At 45.4% G+C, this 24,843-nt stretch overlaps 1 long non-coding RNA gene across 21 annotated transcripts in view, besides 1 other annotated feature; it reads right to left on the bottom strand.

Annotated features, from left to right (window-relative positions):
• LINC02128 (long intergenic non-protein coding RNA 2128) overlaps positions 1-24,843 on the bottom strand; it is a 61,006-nt gene that overhangs the window by 2,603 nt on the left and 33,560 nt on the right. For 3 of the 21 annotated variants that reach the window (NR_184287.1, NR_184288.1, NR_184291.1), the window contains 3 exons: positions 14,137-14,247; positions 13,718-13,977; positions 4,597-4,798 (listed from right to left, as the gene is read on the bottom strand). This is a non-coding gene — a long non-coding RNA (long intergenic non-protein coding RNA 2128). Of the gene's footprint in view, positions 1-2,356; positions 2,581-4,596; positions 4,799-13,711; positions 13,978-14,136; positions 14,248-14,355; positions 16,553-17,938; positions 18,283-24,843 lie in introns of those variants that run through there. The other 18 variants (NR_184286.1, NR_184290.1, NR_184292.1 and 15 more) reach the window with 17 other exon arrangements.
• Positions 18,658-19,569: an enhancer, noted in NCBI's record as "H3K4me1 hESC enhancer chr16:50912801-50913712 (GRCh37/hg19 assembly coordinates)". NCBI's record gives its function as "activates a minimal SCP1, AML or CMV promoter by ChIP-STARR-seq in naive H9 embryonic stem cells {active_cell/tissue: H9 hESC(naive)}" and the evidence as "EXISTENCE:reporter gene assay evidence [ECO:0000049][PMID:30033119]".

Raw genomic sequence — 24,843 nt, 5'->3', positions numbered from 1 at the left:
ACTCTATGAGGCCAGCTCTTTCTGGATGATATGGTATGTGATATAACCAGTAGACCCTATGGTCACTGACTCAATTTTACACCTTCTTCACTATAAAATGGGTTCCCTAGACAGATGCTACATTGTGTGGGATTCCATGTCTGTGAATCAAGAATTCTACAAATCCCTGAATAGTTGTGCCAGCTGAGACTCTGCAGGCAGAAAGGCAGAACTATACCTGTAACAGGTATCTATCCTATAAGGTTGAGCCACTGGTCCTTCTAGAATAGAAGGGGCCCAATGTAGTCAACTTGCTACCAAGTGGCTCAGTGTTCTCCTTGAGGAATAGTGCCAGATCTAGAGGCTCAGTATTGGTCCATGGTGCTGGCAAGTTAGGTATTCAGTAGCAGCAGTAGCTACATTGTCTTTCCTTAGTGGAAATTCATAATGAGACCCATACTAACCTTTATCTCTACAATCATGACCATTCTATTCATTTGTCCATTCTGCCAGTTCTGGGGTGGCCAATGATGAAGGGTGATTAAAGTCAACTGGCTGAGTCATTTTGTCTTCTTATTCAGTGCCTCTTCTGTGGTGGATAGCTTCTTGTCAGAGTTAATATGTGATAAAAAAAATCTTCAGAGTTCACACCAATGTCCATATGTCCATCCATATGTCTCAACCTCAGACCTCCTTGTCTCCAATCCTTTCATCCTTTTCCTTCCAGGACTCTGACCAGGAAGCCAGGCTATTGGCCTCTGTCCAGGAATCTCTACATATTCTCAACTTGGGCCACTTCTCCTTCCTTTGAAAGATATTTTTTCTGAGTATAGAATTCTAAGTTGATATGTTTTTTCCTTTGCTTTTAAAAAATATTGCTCCACTATCTTCCCATTTGCATTGTTTCCAACAAGAAATCTTCTGTCACCATTGTCTTTATCTGTGTATACCAAGACTCTTTTTCTCTCCCCTCTGGCTGCTTTTAAGACTTTCTTTTTACAACCAGTTTTGAGTAGTTTGATTATGATCTGCCTTGTTATGGATTTCTTCATGTTTCCTGTGCTTCAATTTTGTGGAATTTCTTGAATCCGTGGGTTTATAGTTTTTATCAAATTTGGGAAATATTTTAGCCATTACTTTTCAAAGTTTTTATCCATACTTCTCTCTCCTCTCCTTTGAGTACTCTACATATAAGAGGTCACATAAAGTTGTCCCGCAGTTCACTGATGCTCTGTTTGTTTTTGTTCTTGTTGCCTTTTTTCTGTGTATTTCAGCTCAGATAGATTCTATTGCTATGTCTTCAAGTCACTAATCCTTTCTTCTGCAGTATCTAATATACCATTGATCTTATGCAGTGTATTTTTTATCTCACATATTGTACTATGAGACTTAGAAGTTCAATTTGGATCATTTTTTCTATTGCATATCACTACTTAACTTTTAAAATATGTCCATACTAATTATTAAATATTAACTAATGTCCGCTAATTCTAACTTCTGTGTCAGTTTTGGTCAATTTTATTTGCCTGATTTTTCTCCTTATTATGGGAGATATTTTAATGCTTTTTTTCATGCATAGTAATATTTTATTGAATGCCAAGCATTGTGGATTTCACTTTTGTGTATGCTGGATTTTTTAATTCCTAAAAATATTCTTGAGCTTTGTTTTGGATACAGTTCAGTTATGCAGAAACAGTTTGATCCTTCAGGGTCTTGCTTTTAAGATTCATTAGGCAGAACCAGAACAATGTCCAATCTACAGCAAATTATTCCACACAACTGAGTCAAGACCCTTCTGTGTATTCTACCCAATGCCTCATGAATCTTTAGGTTTTCCCTTATGGCTAATGGAAACAAGCACTATTTCCAGCCCTATGTGAGTATGGAGTGCTATTCCTTACAATCATTTCGGATGGTTCTATCCCTAGCCCTGGTCAGTTTCCTGACACATAGGTATTTATCAGTTCTTTTCTGAATACTTGAGGGAATCCTTCCGTAGACCTCTAGAGTTATCCCCCTGTGCAGCATTCTCTTCTCCAGTGTACCATCCTGCAAACTCTAACTGCCTTTTTCTCTCCCAACTTTGAACTCTGCCTTCTGAACTCGAGAGTCTACCTGAGTTTCCCCTTTCTGTGCCATAAACTGGAAAATCTCTCAAGGTAATAAGATGGGGCACTCATAGGGCTCCCTTCATTTGATTCCCATTTCTGAAAGGTTATTCCTCTTCATTGCCTAAATTGTCATGTCTAGAAAACTAATGTTTCACTTATTTTGTGTATTTTTGGTTGTTTCAGGAACAAGAGCAAATCTGAAACTTGCTACTCCATCTTGGCTGAAAGCAGAAGTTCTCCACCTCTGTTCCTCCATATTTGCCTTCTGTTTGTAAATGTTAGGCAGCAGCCTTATTGGCTGCCTAAATATTTTGCCTCTAAGGACGCCAGGCTCTGTTATCCATGCTCTCAGTTCAAGCCACCATTGCAGCCCTTCTGACCTTGCCAGTCTTTATGATAATTGTAGCCCTCTGGCTTCTGATATATTAGGAAGTCATCATCTTCCTAATGGTCCAGTTCTGCATCTGTCTCTCCTATCAGCAGCCTTAATCTGCAGAGGAGAACCAACAATGAGTTACTTGGGAGACTGGTGTGCTTCTCACCAGTGCATTCCTAATGTTATTGGTGAATGGTGTGTCCTCTGGGTCCTCCAATGAAACATATCCTCTATGGGCCTTCTGGCCTCATATACTGCATGTCCCTTTCCCTCAGGTTTTTTCCTCCTGCCGGGGAAACTCAGCTATTTCTACTTCATCTCAGTATGGGCCATTGCCTTCTCTAGGCTTCTAGAAGCTTCTTTAGCAGTGAGTTTGTCCCATCTCCTCAGGCTTTTGCAAGGGTATTAAATCTTACATTCCAAGAGAGTGATGTCAATTCAATGAATTCTTACTTGTTCAGTTATATGTTCTGGACTTTTGATCAAACACTGCAGAAATCCTATCCCAGAGGTATTCTCTTGCCTCCTGACAGTACTTACTTGCTCATTCATGCAACTCCCTCAGAATGAGACCTCTTTCTCCTCTTGTCAGGCTTAGCATGCTCCCAGCAGGTTTATACTGGCCTGGTATTCATATATTAATACAGAAATTGAAGCATGCCATATGTAATAAAGATGCACAAATCCTGAGTGTATTGATGGATTAATTTGCATGAAGTAAACACACCCAGACATCCATCACCCAGGTCAAGAAATGAAACATGGTCAGCTCTCCAGAAGCTCATCTCGTGGTACCTCCCAGTCAATGCCTCCCTTCTAAAGATAAGCATGAGCCTGACTTCTACATCACAGGTAAATTTTGTTTGACTTCGAACTCTTTATAAGTGGAATCACGCAGTATATATGCCTTTGTGTCTGGCTTCTTTGCCCCAACCATGTTTGTGAGTTTCATCCATGGTTTTACATGAGGTTGTAGTTCATGAATTCTCATTGCTGAGTAGTAACCCACCGTATGATTATATCACAATATAATAATCTCTTTTACAGTCTATGGGCATTGGCTTTTTTTCCAGTTTTGTGATATCACCAATAGCACTGCCATAAGCCTTCTTGTATGTGTCTGTTGATGAACATACAAGCACATTTCTGTTGGGTGCATATGAAGGAGTAGAATTGCGGGGTCTCAGGGTAGGTGTATGTGCATCAACTGTATTTTGAAACAAGCTGGTGAGTGGGACTTTTCTCTCTGACTAAGTCCCTGAGCTAAATTTGTCATAAGATAAGTGATAAGTGCCCCATATTCTATAGAGGAGCTGCAGGACACACACCCTCAGACTTCTTAAGAGGTGGCCTAACAGGTCACCCACTAAGACCTAAGAGTATCCCCATCACCCACTCCAATCTATATAAGGAGAGGAGTAAATGTTTGAGAGAAATATGGGGAAGTAAAAAGATAGTCAGCTTTGAGAGTTGTCACCCTGGGCAGAGAGCACTGTGACTCAGGAAGAGGTACAGAAAGGGACAAGGCATGGAAGGCACAGCAGCCACCAAGCATAGGAGGTTGCTCAAGAGATTGGCTTCAGGGACCAGCCTGATACCCATGGCTGGTGGCTTGCTGAGCTGTGGAATCTGGGAGCCCCATTCCACCCTCAACTAGGATAGGATGAGATGAGATAAGAACCATCCTGGGAGTGTGTACTTGGGAGCTTAAGGACACATGTCTTAGGCTGGGTTCCCCCTGGAATCAGACCCTGTGCTAAAGACTCAAGTACAGCAGTTTGAGAAATATTCCAGGAAGTACTGAGAGGGAAGTAGGAAAATGAGAGAAGGATGGAAAGGAAGCCAATACAGCATGCATTAATGAGCAGGGACCATTGTGGGCAACTGGAGCTCAAACCCATTGATGACTATCATGCACACACTGTGTCCCAAATAAAGTCAAGGAAGCTGGGGTATTTATCCACAGACTCCTATTCCCAGGCATGTCAGCTCCCCTGGTACATTGAGCAGAGCCCACAGGAAGAAAGTGACAGGTGCTAACTGCGACTTTCACCCCATGGAATATGACAGCAAGGAGAGGTGCATGCCCACCACAGCGTATATGTACAGAGATTCACACCCATTTCTTACCTGGAGAAACTCTGGAAGTGGGAGTCAGGCTGGGGCAGCCCTCTGTGGAAAGGTGAAGAGAGAGGCAGCAGCAGGCACCCCATACCACCTCAATTTGCTGTAGTGAGACTGCGCGAGTTTCCTGTGGACAAAATACAGGCCACGGGAGGTAGCCAGGCTCAAGATGTCTTGATGGCATCATGCCTGTTAGTTGTAGGGTATCCTGCAAGAAAGGGGAGCGAGAGAAAGGTCCCATGAGGTCACCCAGAGAACAGGAAACCCATACCCAGAAATAGTGTCACACAGAGATCCTTCCTGAGAAAACCATGATGCCCCATGAAAGCCAACAGAAGATGCCACTCCCTGATAGAATTGATGCCTTGTAACAGCCTATCCAGGATAACATCTGTCCTCTCACCTCAGGGCTCACACACAGGGGACAGAACACCCACAGCAGCAGATAAGAGGGCAAGGAGGGAGGAAGATGCCAGACAGTCCCAGTTCCCCAACCTCCCCTCCTCCAGGATTCCAGCTCAAGTCAAGCTGAGACAAGAGGAAGGAAGAAGACTGGAAAAGGCTGCAAGACTGGATTTGATAGAAACTAGGCTGGACATTTTAATACCTGAAAATGAGTCAATTACAGAAGTTAACAGGAAAGCTAACCCATTCATCTGAGATATTGACAAGGGAAGGAGCAGGCAAGATAGTTTGAAGACAGTAATGTATGAAGACTGTTTCATAAATGGCTAACATCTCTGTCCTGCCTCTTCCTCCTATGTCTGAAATGCCCCTGCCCTCAGCCCACCACAGCAGAATCCTTTCTCTCCCCTAGACACAGGGTTTTCAGCCAAGCATCATCATCATCCCTCCAACCATTGCAGTAACATGTTCCTGTGTTCCCAACGAGGTTGGCCTGGCCTTCCCGGCGTAGGTGCGTCTCTCAGGACTGACCAATCACAGGACTCCATCCCATCAAAGCTAGGAAGAAAAAGATGCTCGCAGGATGTCCTGTGTTTTCTTAGAGTCGGTATTCATCTATTGGGCATCCACTCATTGGGCCAATTGTATTAACAATATTTGCTTATTTTCTGTAGTATTGATGCTCTGGCATTTGTGGCCTCTCTAACTGGAGAGAAACTGCCTCTCCCAGGACTAGCTGATTCCTAGAGATAATAAACTCCACCTGACTACACGCCTTTCATATGCAAACCAACCAACCCTGAGTCCATACCCCTAAACACCTCCTTTATTCAACTCTCACTCCCCAAGGCAATATTTCCCCTGCCCCAAATCAACCCAAGCTCAAGTACCAGACCACTAGACACAAGTCCCTATGCCCCAAAGCCTGACAGAATTATTCAGAATAGCCAATTCTAAACTAACTACCCCCCACACCCATACCCAATGCCTTGCCTTGCCTGAGGAAACCCTAATAAAGGCTCTGGCAGAGGCTTCCCCCTCACTCCCTCTGCCTCCTGACCAAAACTGATGCTTCTCTCTGAGGCCTCTTGTGGTGTAGTATGCCCCTTCTCTCATGAGCTGTTCAGTAACAAAGGTCTTATTTCAATGCCATTGACCCCTTTGTGTCATCCCGTGGCCACCTCCGTATATTAAAATCCTGCAGGTATGCTTTGAGACACAGGATACAAGGACCTTGAAAACTGGAGTTGCCAGGGGCATCTTTACAGCCCCATGTAGCAAGCTGCTAAATAACCACCCCAACCCAGGGGAGGCAGAGCTAAGAAATGAACACACGGCCACAGCGTGGACCACAGTTTTGTAGCACCTGGGTTCATAGGCTTCACCCTGAGCGTAGTGTTTATATGAGCCACAAACAAAACAAAACATAAGGTTTTTTTTTTCTTTTTTTTCTTTTTTTAACTTTGCTTTAACCAGGTCAAGATGCACTTTCTGATCTTTGTAGCTAAACGTTCTGGCTAATGTACTCTCCTCCCAAATCCCTGATAAAGTCTCACCTCCTCCAGGCAGCCATCCCAGGTAGCCATCCCAGGTTACCCCAATGTCCCAGTCTCTCCTTCCTCAAAATGCCAACTGCTCCTAGGATCTTGTAACATCTTCTGTTACTCTCTCACATGCCATCTCATACTATTCTCTAACCATCCCATGATTTCCCTCTGCTCCCAGTTTCTAGAGAGCAGGGGTGCTCTTTAGTTCTCTTCCTGGGAATTCTCTTATGTCTCCAATTATTTTGGGAGCCTCCCAGAGGTACCTATCTGTGATCAAATTATCATTGGGCTAACGGCAGGTGATCTTCCTGCCACCACTTATCCCTAGATGCCCACATATGGCCCCACTGGAGAGCCTATATATAAATCCAGCTGCAGTTTCCCCCCATCTTGTCCTAAAATTCAAAGACATCACGATTTCCCTCTTTACTTCCCCTGAAACATCAAGAACCACATCACTTCTCAAGGCTCACCTGGCCTGGCTCACCAACACACAAAAGCTCTGTGTGATATGAGTGGAAAACCCTGAATGGGCTAAGGCTAATGTAAACCCTTGTGGGTACCTAGTTCAGCTTTGGTTTATCTCACCTTCCCCAACTGGTTAATTATGGGGAAAGGAAGAGAGTAATGACACCACTTCCCAGCCTCTGTGGTCTGGTCCATTCATGGAGAGGACACAGCACTTTGGGGGTCACAGGATTCTGAGTTCGAGTCCTGGCTCTACCACTGCCTGACTGTATGTCTTCAGGCAAGTCTTGTCCCTCTCTCCAATCCTCAGGAACTTTTGATCTGAAATAGGGTCATTAATAATCCAGACTGTGAACTGGGCGTGGTGGCTCACACCTGTAATCTCAGCACTTTGGGAGGCCAAGGCGAACTGATCACCAGAGGTCAGGAGTTCGAGACCTGACTGGCCAACATGGTGAAACCTCGTCTCTACTAAAAATACAAAAAATTAGCCAGGTGTGGTGGTGGATGCCCATAATCCCAGCTACTTGGGAGGCTGAGGCAGGAGAATCCCTTGAATCCAGGAGGCAGAGGTTGTGGTGAGCCAAGACCACACCATTGCACTCCAGCCTGAGAAACAGAGAGAGATTCTGTCTCAGAAAAAAAAGAAAGAAAGAAAGAAAAGAAACCAGTATGTTCATGTATATTTTGGCTTAACATAAAGCTAGAAGGGGTATTTAAGTGAAAATTGCAAAAGTAAGACAATCTAAAAAAAAGTGTCAACAAAATAATTATAGAGTGGATCCATGGGCAGATATAGCAACAACAATAATAATAATAAAGGTAATTGGTGATAAGGCAAGAGGCCAAATCTATTTGCTAAAAATAAAAAGCAATGTTCATAATAAAAGCGTGGAAAGAATAATATCAAGCAAAACCATATTTCATTTTAATGTGTAAAGTACTTTCTCATCTATAATCAACTGGGCTAATCTCATGTGGTGAATGTTCCTGTTCTCCATTTTAACAAAATAATTAAAACTGAGGTTCAGAAAGACTAAGAGGCTTGTCCTTGGTCATGTCAAGGCAAAGCCAGGGTTATATGTCAGACTGGTCTGGACACTACTTAGAAAAAAGAAAAATCTCCGCACCTGATTCTTGGAGAATCATTCTAGGAAGAGGGCAGTTCAGGCCAGATTCATGTCTCAGCACCTTCTATCCTGAAGACACACCCCAAAGGTAGTCAGGATCATCCCCTTGGGCAGCAAGGGGCATGTTCACCCAGATCCCCAACTAAAACGTCTCTGCCTCATGAGTTCAAATGATTAGCTGCTTCCAACCTAGGCCCCTCTTCTCCATCCATCCCTTCCTCCCCGACTCTGGGGCCCTGACACTTCACTGGAGTGGCAACTCTTTCAAGGACGCTAAAAATTGCTTTATTTTTCACCACTAATTTGCCAACAAGCTCAGTCGTCCATCCAGTTGGCCCGAAATGAAATTCTATAATTATACAAAAGCCTGGGTCAGCGACCTTCTGATTGCAATATCTTGTCTCTTTTGTCCCTTCCTTCCACCACCTCACCCATGGGACAAAATTGCTTCAGCTCCTCCGGCAGCCTCCAGAATGAGGTGGTATTGGAAACTAGTGAGGCGTGGCCCTGTGGAGGTGTTCATAGCTTTGCAATAATTTACCCATTTTCATTTGTTTGATTTCATTAACACCTGGGTCTCAGGGGAGAGCCCAGTTGGGAAGGGGGAAAAAACAAGTGATTTCAGTTGAAATCGAGTGGTTATCATTGCCTTGTCTTGCAGTACCAAGGGAGTGTGGAATGCCAAGGGTGGAGTGCAGTCTGAGCAGGGTGATGAAGGAGGCCTCTCCTTAGAGGCAGCTTCTGCTAAAAAGTCTTGCCTTTCACATTCCTCAGTCCTCAACGGTCCCATCTCTCAAACTCACCCCATTGACACCAAGGGTATGCCCTATACCAGTGTCCCTTTCTCAACAAGCCAGCCTTACCGGCCCACTGGGCCAAGGCTGCTGGGGTGGCTACATTGAGACAGCATGGCTTAGCGGTTAAAGGCGTGGATGCCCAGAACTGGGCTCTAATCCGGCTCCAGCTCCTGCTTGCCTGGAGCCTTGAACATGGAGCTTCAACTCCACCAGCCTCATTTTCTCTCTTAAATAAAGTAGAGACGACAGCACGCACCTCATAAAGGTTGCTGCAAGGATTAGCTGGGATAATGAATGGGGAAGCACCCTGAATGCTGTGTCTGATACATTGTGAGTGCTCAGCGGAGTGAGAAAGAACAATAGTAATGGTTGCCATCTTTATGATTTTCTCTTCTTTTTCATCTTTACCGTCACCATCATCATCATCATCATCATCATCATCATCATCATCACCATCATCAATCATCACTCCCCACCTGGCCATCTCAGCCTCCACAGGCTCTCAGCAGAAAGAACCCAGTCTCAGAGGGAAGGCTGAAATGTTCTCTGGCAGTGAGCAGTCCCTGGGCCCAGCTTCCTCCAGAGAGAGACTTTGATCCAGTACAAGTCACACTACCGACCGGCATGGCACACCCTTTCTCAAAGGCGTAAGAATTCTGGTGACTTTGTGATTCCCAAGTGATGGGGAAGGACACTCCGTTGGTTAATGGCATCTGATGGTGAGAGAGTCCCTTGTGGCCAGGCTGGATCTGTTTATTCTCCCAGTTTTCTAGAGCTTCCCAGAGAGACCCCAGAGCAGGGAAGCAAAAGCCATTGCCATTTTAGCCCGTGGCAATAGAGGACAGTTGGAAACATCACTTTAGGGTGGAAGGGTCTTCCAGAGGCCCCTTGAATCAGCAACAAGGGGCATTAGAGTCTGCTTCCGTCCTCACAAGAGGTTGATCTGCCTGTAAAGGCAAGTCCTTCTATTGCCAGTAATAAGAATGTGCGGATGACTACAGCTGACATTTATTGAGCACTTACTGTGTGCAGTGTTCTAGGCACTGTCCATGTGTTAACTCATTTCACTCTTATGAGTGGCTGCTGTGTTTGTCCCCATTCTATTGCTGAGAAAGCTCAGGCAACAGGAAGTTAAGTCCCTTGGTCTGACAACCAAGAGTGGTCAAGCAAAGACTCAATCTGGTCTGCCTGACCCTAGAGTCCACGTCTTCCAGCTTTTGGACAGCTCCAGCCTTTACAAAATCCTTGAGTAACTTGAATTAAAATTTCTTCCTAGAACGTGTGCCCCTCGGTCCTGGTTCTGCATTTAGGGTTCTCTCTGCAGAACTCAACCCCCTCCAGTGAGACAGCCGTGTCCAGGGATGTGTTCAGCTCCCAGTGCCCCCACCCAGCTCCTCTGCTCCAGACTGCAAATGCCATTAATATTTAGCATTAGAAGGATCTGGTGAAGCCCATAAATCTGCATATGTTAAAAAAAAAAAAAAAAAAAAACACCACAGGGAATTCCTAAGTGGAGAGGGTGGGAGTAGGGGATGGGGGAGGTGGCCCTTAATTCTGCCTTGAGAAACCCCGCCTGAGGCCTCAGCACCTCCTTGTCCAGCCACCCACAAGTGAGGGTCAACTCAAGTGCCTGAGTGTCCTCTCTGCACCCTGAGAGACCGCTATTCCCAGCCATGCCCTGACCCCAGCCTCCAGCTTAGCAGCCAAGGCCCCCCACCCAGGACCATCACATGCCGGTTAGAAAGTCCCAGGCTCTGAGTGCAGTCAGATTTTTACAGCAAAACCACATTCCCTCGGCCCCAGCTTCCTTCTTTCTGTTTCTCTGAAGTAATAACTGGTCGCAGCCAGCGCCAGAGAAAAGCAGTCTCCCAATAGCTGAAAACATCTGAAACTGGTGATCAGCAGCTTCCTGATAAGATCCCAGAGTTGGGCAAGTGGACTCAAGCATGCGCGCTAAGAGGCAAAATGGCAGCATTTACTTGGTATATGACCTTCCAGGGACATTTGACTGGTAAGGGAAGAACGCCTCAAGTAAGCACACGTACAACTTCAGTAAATATACTGTGCATGGTCCCCTCCCAAGCGCTGGCAGGCTGCTGTGCATGCAGACAGCCCACCCCAATGGAAGAATCAGGGGAGAAGAGAAGCCGGACCCCAGAAGTATGCCCACATATAAGACCCCAATTCAAAGGTCAAACAGGGCACTTGTCTTTCAAGTTGCCCACTTGGCCCTCTTCCAAATATGCTTGCCTTCATTCTGTTCCCACTCTAAAACTTTTTAATAAACGTTCATTCCTGCTCTAAAGACTTTCCTCGGTCTCTCCTTCTGTCTTATGCCTACTCAGTGGGATTGTTTCTTCTGATGAGGCAAGAATTGAGGTTCTGCAGACCCATAGGGATTCGCCACGGGTAGCACTAACATCTCTCCATAGTTGTCTCCTTCTCCCCACCACCTCCCCCAGGGAGGCCTTCCCTGACCACCCTATCTACAGGTGGCCCCTTCCAGGCCCTCTCTGTCATATAATTCTGCTGGATTTTTCTCCATTGCATGGAAATTTCTTATGCATACATGAAGCCAGTGTCTCTTGTTCCTGTCTCTCTGTGCCTCAGTTTCCACATCTGTAAAATGGGGAAAATGCTACCTGCTGGGTTGTTTGGATAATGAAATGAGTTAATATAGGTACAGCACTCAGAACAGTGCCTGGCACACAGTAAGCATGATGAAAGTGGTGGCTTTATTCTTTATATTAATATCATTGCTCTCAGTATCTGGAGCAGCACCTCATACACAGTAGGCGCCCAATATGCATGTTTGAATAAATATACGAATGGATGGCTGAGCCACCATGCAGAGAGCCTGAAAAGTCCCACCCCGCCTGCTGCTGAAGACCCAGGCCACCCCCTCCTCATGGGCTATAATTACCCAATAACAAGAAACCCAGCCCCCTGGGCTTCATGCACAGCACATTTTCCAAAGATGAAAAGCTCATTCGTTAATAACTACATAGCAATATCTAAAATTTTGGTTGCATTGTGAGGCTGGGTGGCTTCCCCATTCACCAATAATGACAGACCACTTAAAAAATAAATAACACATATAATTTAAGCAACTAAAACAAATGGCAGTGTTGGCTTTCCCTGGGAAAACATTTTCACTATTTCCTCGAGGCGTCCCCATGGGTGCCCTTGCCTCGGCCTCCCCTGCAGAGATGCCTTCTCAGCAGGTGACCTGGGAGTGGAGCATGCAGAGCAGTGTCAGAGAGGAGACCTCACCCACAGCCTCCCAGAGTCCCTTCCCAGAAAAGCCTGGCCTTGTGCTCCCCAGAGGAGGGAAGGGGGAAAACTGCCTTCTCCCTCCACACCCATATTCACTATCTTTCCCCTCACCCTTTCCCCTGTGGGGAGACTTTGTAACCTCATATCCCTATGGGGCAGACAGGCAATGTACACGAGCAAAGCAGGTGGATGCATGAGGCAATAGGGATGGGTGGGGCTTGTGGCAAATTGAAGAGGAGACAGCCCTGCCACAGGGAACAAGCCTCACCAATGGTTGCTATGCAGAAATGCAGGCTCAGTTTTGCAAAATCTCCTGACATTTCAAAATAAGCCATCAATTTGAATTTAAAATGTCAGTCCCTTTAACAACCTCGCAGGTCCCTCATTCTGGGCCCTGCTGCCTCTAATTTCATCTCCGACTTCTCTACCCTTCACTCACCCTGCTAAGGCCACACTGGCTTCTTTACTGTTCTTGGACCAAGACAGGCACATTTCCACCCCAGGATATTTGCACTGAATATTCCCTCTGCCTAGAACATTCTTCTCCCAGATAAACTCATAGGTCAGGAGGCCAGTAGGGCTGGAATGCAGTAGGTGAGGAGGAATATAGCAGGAAAGAAGTTGGGGTGGAATCCAGAACAGCCAGATTATAGGTGAGTGGTGGGAAGGTTATAAATTTGTAGGCCTGTTTTTGGTCATCACAAAGATTGGGGGTGTTAATGGCATTTAGTGGGTAGAGGCCCACATGCTAGAACCTTTGTGATGTGTGGACAGCTCCTCACACAAAGAATTATCCAACATATATCAAGGCAGGTAAAAAACCTAGATAGAATTTGGAGCCTGGAACCTAACTTGATTTCACATTTAACCCAAAGGAATGTGGGGTTATTTTTGGTTTTGTGTTCATGTTTTGCTCAATTTCATTAAACACTGAGATTTCTGGGGCTGCTGCTTGTGTGTGGATCAAGCGGAGGTTATGCTCTGTTATTCTGGGGGCTTTATCAGGAGCTGATCACCTTCATGAGGACTCCATCAGTGAAAGCCATGCCCTTCATGGAGTTTGAATCACTGAGTGGGCGCCAAACTGTATTTGTCGTGTCCCATTCTTAGAAAGTCTACCTGCAGAGGGGGCTTTGACACCTTCATTGTGTTTTTCAGAAGAGTTGGGCTGGAATATTTACATGCTGAGATAACTATTATTTTATTATAAATTCGTTTCCTTTTAATTCTCCTCTAGAATACAATTAGGGCATTATGTGGCTTACATGGATTTATGTAAATTGTGTCTATAGATAGGTGATATTGCCTATGAATTTCATTTCAGCATGGTGTAATAAGGGGCATGTCAATGTATTCGTTATTTTAAAAGGAAGAAGAAAAAGAGACCAGGCCTGATATGCCTGAGTTCCCAGATGTGGAATTTTGCAGGATATGGTCAGGGACTTGTGCTTTTCCTTGGCTAAGCCGGGAGCCCTGGCAGAAGAAAGATTCATCTGACCTGCACCTTTTAGATGCCACTCCAGGGGGCAAGCGTGAAGCAGCAGACACTCCTTAGGAAACATTCGACCATCCAAGAGAAACAGGAACAGAGCAGAGGAGGTGGTGAGAGTGCCGCTGAGACCTGCTGAGGGGTTGGATGTGGAACTTCCGAGAAAGAGGACACAGGGATAACTCCACGGTGTGGTTCCGAGTTACCGTGGAGGTCGGAGAAGAAGTGGACAACTTCTGAGATGAGGAAATCTGAGTCTTGATTTGGGTGCCTACCTGTGCCCAGCAAACAGAAAGAGCCCAGTGGTAATGCCAGGAGCAAACCCCCATCCCGCCTCCCCCAGCCCATCCCGCCTCCCCCAGCCCATCCCGCCTCCCCCAGCCCATCCCGCCTCCCCCAGCCCATCCCGCCTCCCCCAGCCCATCCCGCCACACCGATTGCCGTCACCAGCAGGTGGCGCTATGGAGCAAGCCTGAGACCTGGAGTCAGAAAACCTGGATCCGTGTCCTGGCTCCCCCAGTGAGCAGAGATGAACAAAGTGGGCACTGCAGAGAAAAGATCCCCTTGTCACCAAAACCACCGCTGTCCATCTTCCATGCTTCCTCGTGTCCCCACAGGCTAGCCTCAAGAATGGCAGGGACTCTCAGACCAACTCTCAGTTCGATTTTCAATTTATTATCTATATCCAGCTCCTTTCCAAAGATACTTGAGGTGTCTTTCAAAAACACACACAAAGGAGTGAAAAAGGAAGGGAAGACAATTAAGAAGAGGAAATAGATAAATAATTCTAGCACAAATGGAGCTGCTATGACTGGGCACCATCGCAACAAACAAGACAAAATGGGAAGGCCAGCTGTTGCTGCATAACAAATCTCCCCAACATCTAGAAGCTGAAAACACCATTTGTCACTCCTCACAAATCTCAGGCTGGGCTGCACAGTTCTGCTGGTCTGAGGCAGGATTGGCTGATCTTGGTTGGGCTCATGCGTGCATCTGGAGACCAATGGCAGGCTGCTGGGTGCTGGGTGCTGGCTGCTCTGAGATGGCCTTAACTGGGACACCTTGGCTGGGTTCTACATGGCCTCTCATCCAGCAGCAGGCCAACCCAGGCTTGTTCACATGGTGATAGCAGGGGCCCGAGAAAGCAGAAGCTGTCAGGCCCCTTGGAAAGCCTCTTCCTCTAGGCTTAGAACTGGTATACCAGCACTCCTGCTATGTTCCATTGGCTGAAGCAAGTCACAAGGCCAGACCAGATTTTAGGGGCAGGAAATGGACTTCACTTCTTATTGGGAAGAGTGATGGTTGTTGCCATTTTTGCAACTTACGACCATGATAAATTGTGGAGCTCTAATTATCAGAGAAGAATAAATATGACAGTTTCTTGGAGCAAAATTGTTCCCCTTGACCAACTCAGAGAAATGTTTCCAAGGGCCGACACCACGTTGGCCTCATTTTCTTCATAGCAGTGATCATTCATTGAGTACTTACTATGTGCCAGACCCTAGGCATCCTTTATATTCATGTGCTTCCAAAAGCACAGGAGGCACAGCATGGCTCTTCATCATGAGTTTAGTTGGTACACAGATAAACAGTTATGACGTCGTCTTCTTTGTCTTTTCTTATTGCTTTGCATTTGTGACAAGTGATATCAATTTTCCTCTAATGCTAATAATATAAAAATTTCCTTTTGAAATAGATCAGCTCAAGTCTTTCAACATGGATTCATTTAAGGAAATATTAATTAAATAAATAATGAAGTTGGGTGTGGTGGCTTATGTCTGTAATCCCAACAGTTTGGGAGGCCAAGATGGGAGTATGGCTTGAGGCCAGGAGTTCCAGAGCTGCCTAGGCAACATAGCGAGACCTCATCTCTATATAAATAAAGGAGTCAGCCAAGTTTGGTAGTGTGTACCTGTAGTACTAGAGACTAAGGTGAGAGGATCCCTTGAGCCCGGGAGTTTGAAGATGCAGTGAACTACGGATAGCACCACTGCCCTACAGCCTGGGCAACAGAATGAGACCTTCCATCTCTAAAAAATAAAATAAACATAATGGTACAGGTGGCATGTGGTCATAGTAAAACTCATGAGGGCGCAGGCAACACACTGAAATTTGAAAAACATGCTGAATTATCTCTATTCATCCCTGAGAAATAAGTATTATGTTTTTCATTTTGCAGATAGGGAAACTGAGTACAGACGGGGTCCCCAGAGGCACAGACTCAAGATAGTGCCAGATGTGCAGCTCTGTCTGAAAAAGCCCTGAGTGAATGTTCCCAGGTGGCTTGTAATAGGAAGCTTGGCAAATGGCAGAGGCCTGTGGTGGCATCTGTCACCTAATGAGAACCCCGGGGCTTCCAGGGTGCCCCTGCCACTGCTACTTCTGGGCTTCTGAGTATAATGAGGATGGCAGGCCAGGGCCCTCGCAAGGCACACTTTCAGAATCTGTGTCAAATGGAATTTGAATCAGAAAGTTCCCTGGAGACCCAAGGGAGGCATCAGTCTGAAATCTCCAGTACAGGTAGGTGGCAGGCATGGTGCATGTTAGCTGAAATCACTCTTTACCTGAGAGGCCACACACGCACAGCGGCACTGAATAAATTAGAGAAAATAGACGTGCTTCTCGGAAAGGGTAGTGGGAAGCCTCTGTGCTCCCGGCGCTGTTGTAAGTGCATTCTTTCCTCAGGTTCCATGAAAGCATGTCCCGTGGGGCCCATCCTGAAGCCAACGGGCTGGGTCCAGTGAGGGGCAGAAGAGGTCAGGAGGGAGGTGGGAAAGCTAGCAGAGCCCTTCCTGGCTGCACACCCCAAGATCTGGGCCTCACAAGCATCTGGGCACTCGTTCAGGGCGCCTGCGAAATAAACCAACATTATGAACCGAATTGTACCCTCATACTTTGTATGTTGAAGTCCTAACCCCCAGGACCTCAGAAGGTGGCTGTATTTGGAGATAAGGCCTTTAAAGAAGCAATTCAGGTTAAATGAGGTCATTGGGGTGGGCCCTAATCCAATCTGACAAGCGTCCTTAAAAGAAAAGGAGATTAGGACACAGACAGACAGAGGGAGGACCATGTGAGGTCACAGTGAGAAGAGTGCCATCTGCAAGCCTAGGAAAGAAGCCTCAGAGGAAACCGCCCCTGTTGATTCCTCTATCTCAGACTTCCAGCCTCCAGGACTCTGAGAAAATGCATTTCTGTCTTAAGCCACCCAGGCTATGGTATTTTGTTGTGGCAACCCTAGCAGACCAACACAAGCAGTGAGCGCTCTCGGCGGCTGCTCTGGTGTTTACATCACTTAGAAGTTCTTGGTGTCTAGATCTTTCTCTCTTTCTCTTCTTTCTACATGACCCAGCTAGGGGATCAAAGAAAACCCGCATTTCGTGGGGCTCTCATGCCAGAGCATGCTCCAAGCCCTGTGAATGTTTCCAAAGTGAAAGAGTACCTAGGGAGAGAGCTGGGGGTGCTGGGTGGGGCCAGGAGTAGGGTGGGAAGGTGATTTCTGCCTGAGGAGCAGGACACACAGCAGACCAGAGTCTTTCTCTATTCATGCATTCACTTATTCATGTGTTCATTCATTCGCTTGATGGATTAGCCCTGATCCCACCTTCAGGGAATTAGGAGAAGGCTGCTGTGTTCACCCTCCCAAGCCCACCCAGAGGGGTGTGGCTCTGAGGGCAAGGAGTGAAGCCAGGTCAATAGCCTGGCTTTGAAGTGTGAACCTGCCTTTATAGGCTGTGTGCACTGGTGAACCCCGAAACATCTGGAGGCCGTGGTTTCCTCACTTGCAAGATGAGAATAATAATCAAATCTACCTTGTAGAGATTTTTGAGGACTAAATGAAATGACACGAGTAACCTGCTCAGAACAGAATGTGGCACATGGCCATTACTCAAAAATCAAGGTCACAGTTTATTGCTATTAATATTATTTCCATTTCCTGCCCTGACAGATCCCAGCCTGTGTCTGATCTTCATACGGTCTCACGCTCACTTCATACCCCAGGGCCCTTGCTCAGGCTGTTTCCAACACCTGGAGTATCCCCTCCACCTCCTTGCCTGAGGCCAGCCTACTTCTCACCTCCTCCAGGAACACCACCTCCCATGAAGCCATGCTCCAACCCTCTGCATCTGCAGTGCTGCCACTTAGCACTACTTGGGGTCCTCATCTCTACCCGGTACTGGGATGCTTTCTGGTCAGGGCCTAAGCCCTCCCCTTTTTCATACCCTCCTCCAGCCTTACCCAGGTGCACGTCCTGGCTATCCCATGGGATTTGTCCCAGAAATCAGCTCCAAGCTCCATTCTCTAAAGCAGTGGCTCCCAACTGGGGCTGCTTTTGCCCTCTCGTCCCCGACCCAGGGGGCATTTGGCAATGTCTGGAGACATTTTTGGTTGTTACACAGTGGGTGTGGCAGGGGTGCTATTGTCATCTAGTGGCTAGAGGCCAGGGAGATTGCTAAACCTCCTGCCATGAATAGGGCCTCCCACAGTAAACACTTACCCCACTCAGAATGTTCATAGTGCCCCAAGGTAGAGAAGCCCTGCTCTCAGGAGGCACCTGCTCTCCTTCAGAGAGGGTGAGCTCTGGGGTTCCGGGTAATTCGATTCTCAGGACAACGCACATCCTGGCTGGGCGGACCTCTCCGCGCGGCAGCCTCCAGCACCTGGAGCTGTCTGCCCCTGACGCGGAGCCCTCCCTCGCCCGCCCCTTGTCACAGCATCCGCGGATCCCTGCGGATTTGTATGAAGCAATTGACCTGTGACTAAGGCCAGCTGAGCTCGCCTTGTTCCCGCAGGGCGGGGACAATACCCCTATTAACTGGAAGGCAAGGTCCCAGCACAGCAGCGCAGAGCATGGATTGGGGAGGGGCGTGGATGGGGGCGGGGAGAAAAAGGGCAGCTCCAGAGCTGTCCTAGGTCGGGGGCGGTAGTCCCTAGTACTAATGGTTATAATTAGCCCAACATGAATATCAGCATCTTCTCCTAGATGCCTAGTACATGAGAGCTCATGCTGATTCACATCCCTGATGAGATGCCTCCACCTGCCAACCTCAGGGGTATAGTCCTTGTTCCCACTTAACGTAAGAGGAAACTGACAGAGATCCCAGGCGATTTACCCAAAGTCACCCAGCTGGTAGATGGAGAAGTAGAGGCAGGAACTCGGATTATCTGAATTATGGTTTGTATTAAGCACTCATTCTGTGCCAGGCGCAGTGAAAGTACCAGATGGGGAGTTTGTAAACTGGGCAAATGGGGGTCCCGGAACCCCAGAACCTGATGAAACCCTGGCCCCGCCTCCTCTGAGTGTCGGCCCCAACAACAGCGCAGAAGAGGCCCCTTTCTACCACCAGGCTCCACCCCCAGCGCCATTGATTGGACTGTGCAGAAGGGGTGGGGCCTTCCAAGCGAGATGAGCCAATCAGAACCTCTCTTCAAGGAACTGGAAATTAGAACAGTGTTTGGGCCAAATAGATGGGGGTGAGCAGGGGAGGAAAGGTCTTGAGGGAGCAGCACGCTTGCCTGATGGGTGCCCAAAGCCAGGGGCAGGTGGAGGTGAGAGAAGGACAAGCTCTGCAAACGTTGCGGAAGCGCTCTGTCCATGGAGAAGGCACAGGACTTCCATGTGGGGAGCAGCTTACTCCTGCTGAGAACTTTGGGGAGACAGAGTGGAGCAGCCATCTCAGACCTGAGCGGCTAAGGAGCTGGGTCCCCCTCTGTCGCACTGTGCAGAGCTGCTGGACTTTGCAGTAAGCAGCCTTCAGGTCTAAAGGTGAGTGCCCAGGGGATATGGGCGGGGCACTGATGGGGTGAGCTACACCAGATTTTTAGCCAGATCATTGGGAATATTCTCATGCCATCTTCTGAGACACAACGTCCTGCTCAATACCCTCCTAGGGCTTCCCAATACATTTGGAATAAAATACCAAGAGATTATCCTGTTCTAGAAGGCCTTAGAGGATCAGGCTCCAACTTTTGCACCAACCTAATACGCAGCTGTTCCTCTCACTACATTCAAGCCTCTGTTCAAATGTCACGTGATTATTGAGTTCTTCACTGTATATCCTCCTTACAATAGACCCTCCTCTCATCTCTCTTCCTGTCCACCTCCTCATCCTGCTATCCTGCTATATATCCTGCTATAATTGATAATATGTATTTATTTGCTTATCTGATTTTGTTTGGTGTCCCTAAACTAGAATGTAATCTGCTTTGGCCTGTGCCTGGCATATGCTAGTTAATAAATACAGTATTGGTTAGGGAGGGAAGGAAGGTTCAGCTGCTTGGATTTAAATCTTGGCTCTGCCACGTATCAGCTGAATGACCTTGGAAGTCTTCACTCTCTGTGTCTCAGCTTCTCGTCTGTAGGACAGGAATAAATAAGAAAGCAATGATAATAATTTCTATCTCATGGCATTGTTGTGGGAATCAGGTGAAATCATGTATGTACAGCGCCTGGCAGATATTCAAGTGTTTAATAAATGCTAGCTGTGTTTATTCTTGGACCCCAATTACCCCCTTTGTGAAATGGGGTTGTTGTAAAAATTAAATGAGATAGCAAATGTAAAGCGCTTTGCACGTAGTGCACCCTCTATAAAGATTTGTGGTTATTTTTCATTAATACATGCACACATACACACACACACACACACACTCCATCCATGAAGGCTATCCATTTGTGCCTTCCCCAAGCAGAGTTCCCATAAGCCCTGGAATTAGCATGGATCTAAGCAAAACCTAGAAGTCAATGGTTGAAGGAGGACAGCTCCAGCTTAGCAACTTCCACACTCATTGCCTCTGAGCTGATGCCAGCACAGCTTTCCCTTCCTGTGCACTCTGGGAGCTTTCCCTTCCTGTGCACTCTGCAGCCCCTAGTCTCCAACAGGCAGCCTGGTGTCCCTACAAAACAGTCCCACACAAGCATCGGAACCCCGGCTGCTCCCCCTCCAGAGCCCAGACCACCAGGCTGAGCAACAACCGCGCCTCTGTGCAATGTTGCTCCTTATTAGGCATCATTAGGTACACAGTAATTATAATAATTATGTGCACTGCTTAAGCGACCATCCTCAGTAACAACCACTGCTATTCAGAAGTCATAATTGCTGCATCGAGACTTAAAATGAAGGCTAATTAGATGTCAGTTGCTACCCCCCCCAACTCACAGCCTCCTACATAATCTCTATATCCAAAATGCCCCATGACCACCAGCTATCCTTGATTAATCTGCAGAACCCAAAACAAACAATTTGGTCCACAGGAGAGCGTGGATATGCCAGCGGGATTAAGAGGGAACATGTGGATGCTTTGGGGGGGAACTTGCAGGACTTGCATCATTTCAAAAGAAAAGAATTTGGGATCAGAGGGTGGCTGAAGAACTCGGGCCGAGAGTCAGGAGATGGGGTCTAAGTCCTGGTTCTCTCAGGGTCTTGATGTGGTGTTGAACAGGTCACCTCTTCCTCCATCTGCAAAGTTGGAGGAATGGACCTAGGGATGCATTGCAGGGGCCACTTTGTAAAGTATCAAGTGATACTTTATAAGGGAGCAATAAACAAAACAGATGCAAGCAGAGCCTTTGATTAAGGCAAAACAAGAAGGTCTGGAGACTCCCTGTCCTTATCCTATCTGCCAGCACCCTCTGAAATAACTCTGCAAACCACTGGGTTTCCTGGGAGACAGATTGGAAACTGCTGGTGCCTGTGCTCTCTAAAGCCCTGGTTCTCAAAGTTGGCCCCACATTGGAATCACCTGGGCAGATTTTAAAACTGTTGATGACCAGGTTTCACTCCAGAAGTTGTTTTCTTTGGTCTGTGCTGTGACCTGGATATCAGGGTTTTTTAAATTCTCCCAGATGATCCTAAAATGCAGCCAAGCGTGAGAAGCCCTGTTCTATATGCCCCGACATCTGAACATTGAAAGCATTTACGATTCTGCTCGGCCTAGTACAAGGCTTCCCCCCTCTGGGCCTCAGTTTCCCCATTTTCTAAAATGAAAGCATTATACACGGTGGCCTCCAAGGACCTCTGGTCCTAAGTTTCCTTCAGACTAGGATTAATCTGGAGCTTGGCACGCTGAGAATGCTGAAGTGTGAGGGTAACCAAGGCTGTTTGGGTCCACTTTTCTCTTCCAAATAATATTTGTGTCTACTCCTATATGTGCAGGCCTGTCCCCAGTGCTGCAGAATAAAAATCAGAAGAAGTCAGCTAAATGCTCTTTGCCCAAAGGAATTAACAGGGAACTGTATGCTGGAAATGAAAAGATTAAATAGCAACACACACACGCACGCACACGTGCACACACACACACCCACACAGGCTCATGAAAGCCACCTACAGAAATGCTTTAAGGACTGGAGGTAATGCACAGAAGTCGTCAGCAAGGTTCCTGGCCCATGTCAAATGCCCAGTAAATGGCAATTTTTGTTACAATTGTGCACAAATCCAGCATTCTCTTGGGTATGCTGGGCAAAACACTGTCTTATGTATTCTGTAATAACAGCACAAATGAACTAAGACAACTTCCTAGCCTATAAATGCCCCAGAAAGCTTCTAATGCTGCTCAGCACAAGGATACAGAATGAGCTTCTCTTACCATGAAGCTTCATCTTTCAAATGCTGCCACTACTTGCATGAGCTACAGACAAGCTCTGCAGAGCCAGGAAGAAAAATAGCAGATAATTCCTAGACAGCACCTACTATGTGCTAGACCCTGTTCTAAGCATCACACGTGTATTATCTCATTTAGCTTTCAATATGACCCTATCAGTTGGGTACTACTATTATCCTCATTTTGCAAGTGATTAAACTGAGTCATGGGGAAATTAGGCAAGTTGTCCTGTTCACATAGCTGGAAAGTGGTAGGAAGCACTCTGTAGAAGACTTTTCCCTTTCCCAAGTTCTTCCCTTGGGCATTTCACCAGCCTGAATGACTCCGGGTTTTCAAGCCAGGACATTAGAGTATGGGGGGATGTGTTAACAATAAGACCCTGAAGTTTCTTTTGGGACACACTCCCTGAAGATCCTTGACCAATAGATGTGCTATGGATATACACAGTGAGCCTCTGCAAGCCTAGTTGACAGCTGCTGCTGAAGGCTGAGCGCTGAATGGTGATACCAGAGGCTACAAAGTGTAGGGGGTTCTGGCCCAGCCAGAATGAAGAAACCCTCACTGAGCACCTCAGCCATTCAGCTGAGAAATCAGAAAGTCTATGCATAAAAGGTAAGGACCACATCTTAGAGAAAGAACCATGTCCTAACACTAAGGACAAAACCTAAATAGATGTACTCTAACAAAAAATAAAATTCAGTCCAACAGAATCAAAAGACTCCACCAGTAGTTCAACTGCCTTCCATAACAAAATCAACATCATTTAAAGGATGACAACAAAATTCAGAATATTCAGAACACAATAAAAATTACTACACATGCAAAAATGTAGGCAAAAGTGACCCAAAATCAACAAAAAAACAGACAACCTTGAGAGGTTCAGAAGTTGGAATTAACATCCAAGGACTTGAAAACAGCTATTATAAATATGTTTAACAATTTAAACAAAAACATGGACATGATGAATGAAAAATAAGGACTCAAATACAAACTACAAAGGAACAAAATGAAATTCTAGAACTAAGAAACATAATATAATGAAATGAAATATTCACTAAAATTAGTGAATATTTAGAATCATATTAGATATTGTAGAAAAAGCCAATGAACTTGAGGCTAGATCAGTGAAAATATCCAATTTGAAGAACAGAAAGAAAACACTTAAAAAATTAACAGAGCCCCATCACCTGTGGGATAATATTAAATAGTTTACTGAATAGTTAGACACATGCTATTGGGGTCCCAGAGTGATGAGAGAGAATAGGACAGGAAAAATGTTTAAAAGATTATTTCCCAAATTTCATGAAAAGCATCAGCTGAAAGATCCAAGATCTCAGCAGACCCCAAGAGTAAATACAATAAATGTTTTTAAAGGACATATTTTAAGATGGTGAAAGAAATATATATATACACACACACACACACACACATATATATATATGTATTCAGAATTGTATATCTAGCAAAAATGTTGCTCAAAATAAGGGTGAAATAGACATTTGCAGATAAACAAAAGCTGAGAGAATTCCTTGTCAACAGACTTTCAACACACACACAAACACACACACACACACACACAAACACAAACACAAATGCTTTCAAAAGTAATTTAGGCTTGGGGGTAATTAAATCAGATGGAAATTCAGTTATTGAGGAAAAAATAAAGAGCACTGGAAATAATAAATAAGTGGCTAAGCATAAATGATTATCTTTTCCTCTCTTCAGTTTTGTAACAGACAACTGACTATTTAAAACAAAAATAATAGCATTGTTTTGTGGAATTACAACATATATAGAAATAGTATATGTGAAAACAGAAAGAACATTAAAGATAAATGGAATTGTAGTGTTACAGGGTTTCACTTAAATTTAAAGTGAAGTCGTAGTTAAAATTAAAATTAAAGTTAAAATTTCACTTAAATTTTAAGTGAATTTATAGAGTATTAATTCTAAGTAGGCTATGATGAGGAGGATAGCTAAAAATAGAAAGAGATAGAGCTAAAAAGAGAATAAATAAAATAAAACGACATAGAATATAAAAGTATGCTGTATGCCCAAAATGAAGCAGACAGGGAAGGCAGAAGTAAAAAGTCAGTGAAATAGAAAACAAATATAAGATCATAGGTTTAAACCCAGTCATAGCAATAATTACATTAAGTGTAAATGCTTTAAACACTCCAGTTAAAAGGCAGCTGTTGTCATTCTGAATCACACAAACAAGACCAACTCTATTCCTACAAAAGAAATATTTTAAATATTAAGACAACAATTAAAAGGAAAGAGAAAAAAGATATACTACGCAAACAATAAACATAAGAAAGCTGCTGTAGCTATATTATCAGAAAAATAGACTTTAAGACAGAGTATTTCTAGAAATAAGTGAGCACATTTCATAATTACAAAAGGGGAATTCATTAGAAAGATATGACAATTATAAATGCCTATAAGCCTAAAAATAAATTTTAAAATACATGAAACAAAAGCTGACATAACTAGGAAAAAATAGACAAATCCACAATCATAGTAACTTATTATAAAATGCTTCT

Source organism: Homo sapiens, chromosome 16, assembly GCF_000001405.40.
Source record: "Homo sapiens chromosome 16, GRCh38.p14 Primary Assembly".
Classification (NCBI taxonomy): Eukaryota; Metazoa; Chordata; class Mammalia; order Primates; family Hominidae; genus Homo; species Homo sapiens.
The sequence above is the reverse complement of the archived record's forward strand: the minus strand, read 5'-3'. Positions and strand labels throughout refer to the sequence as shown.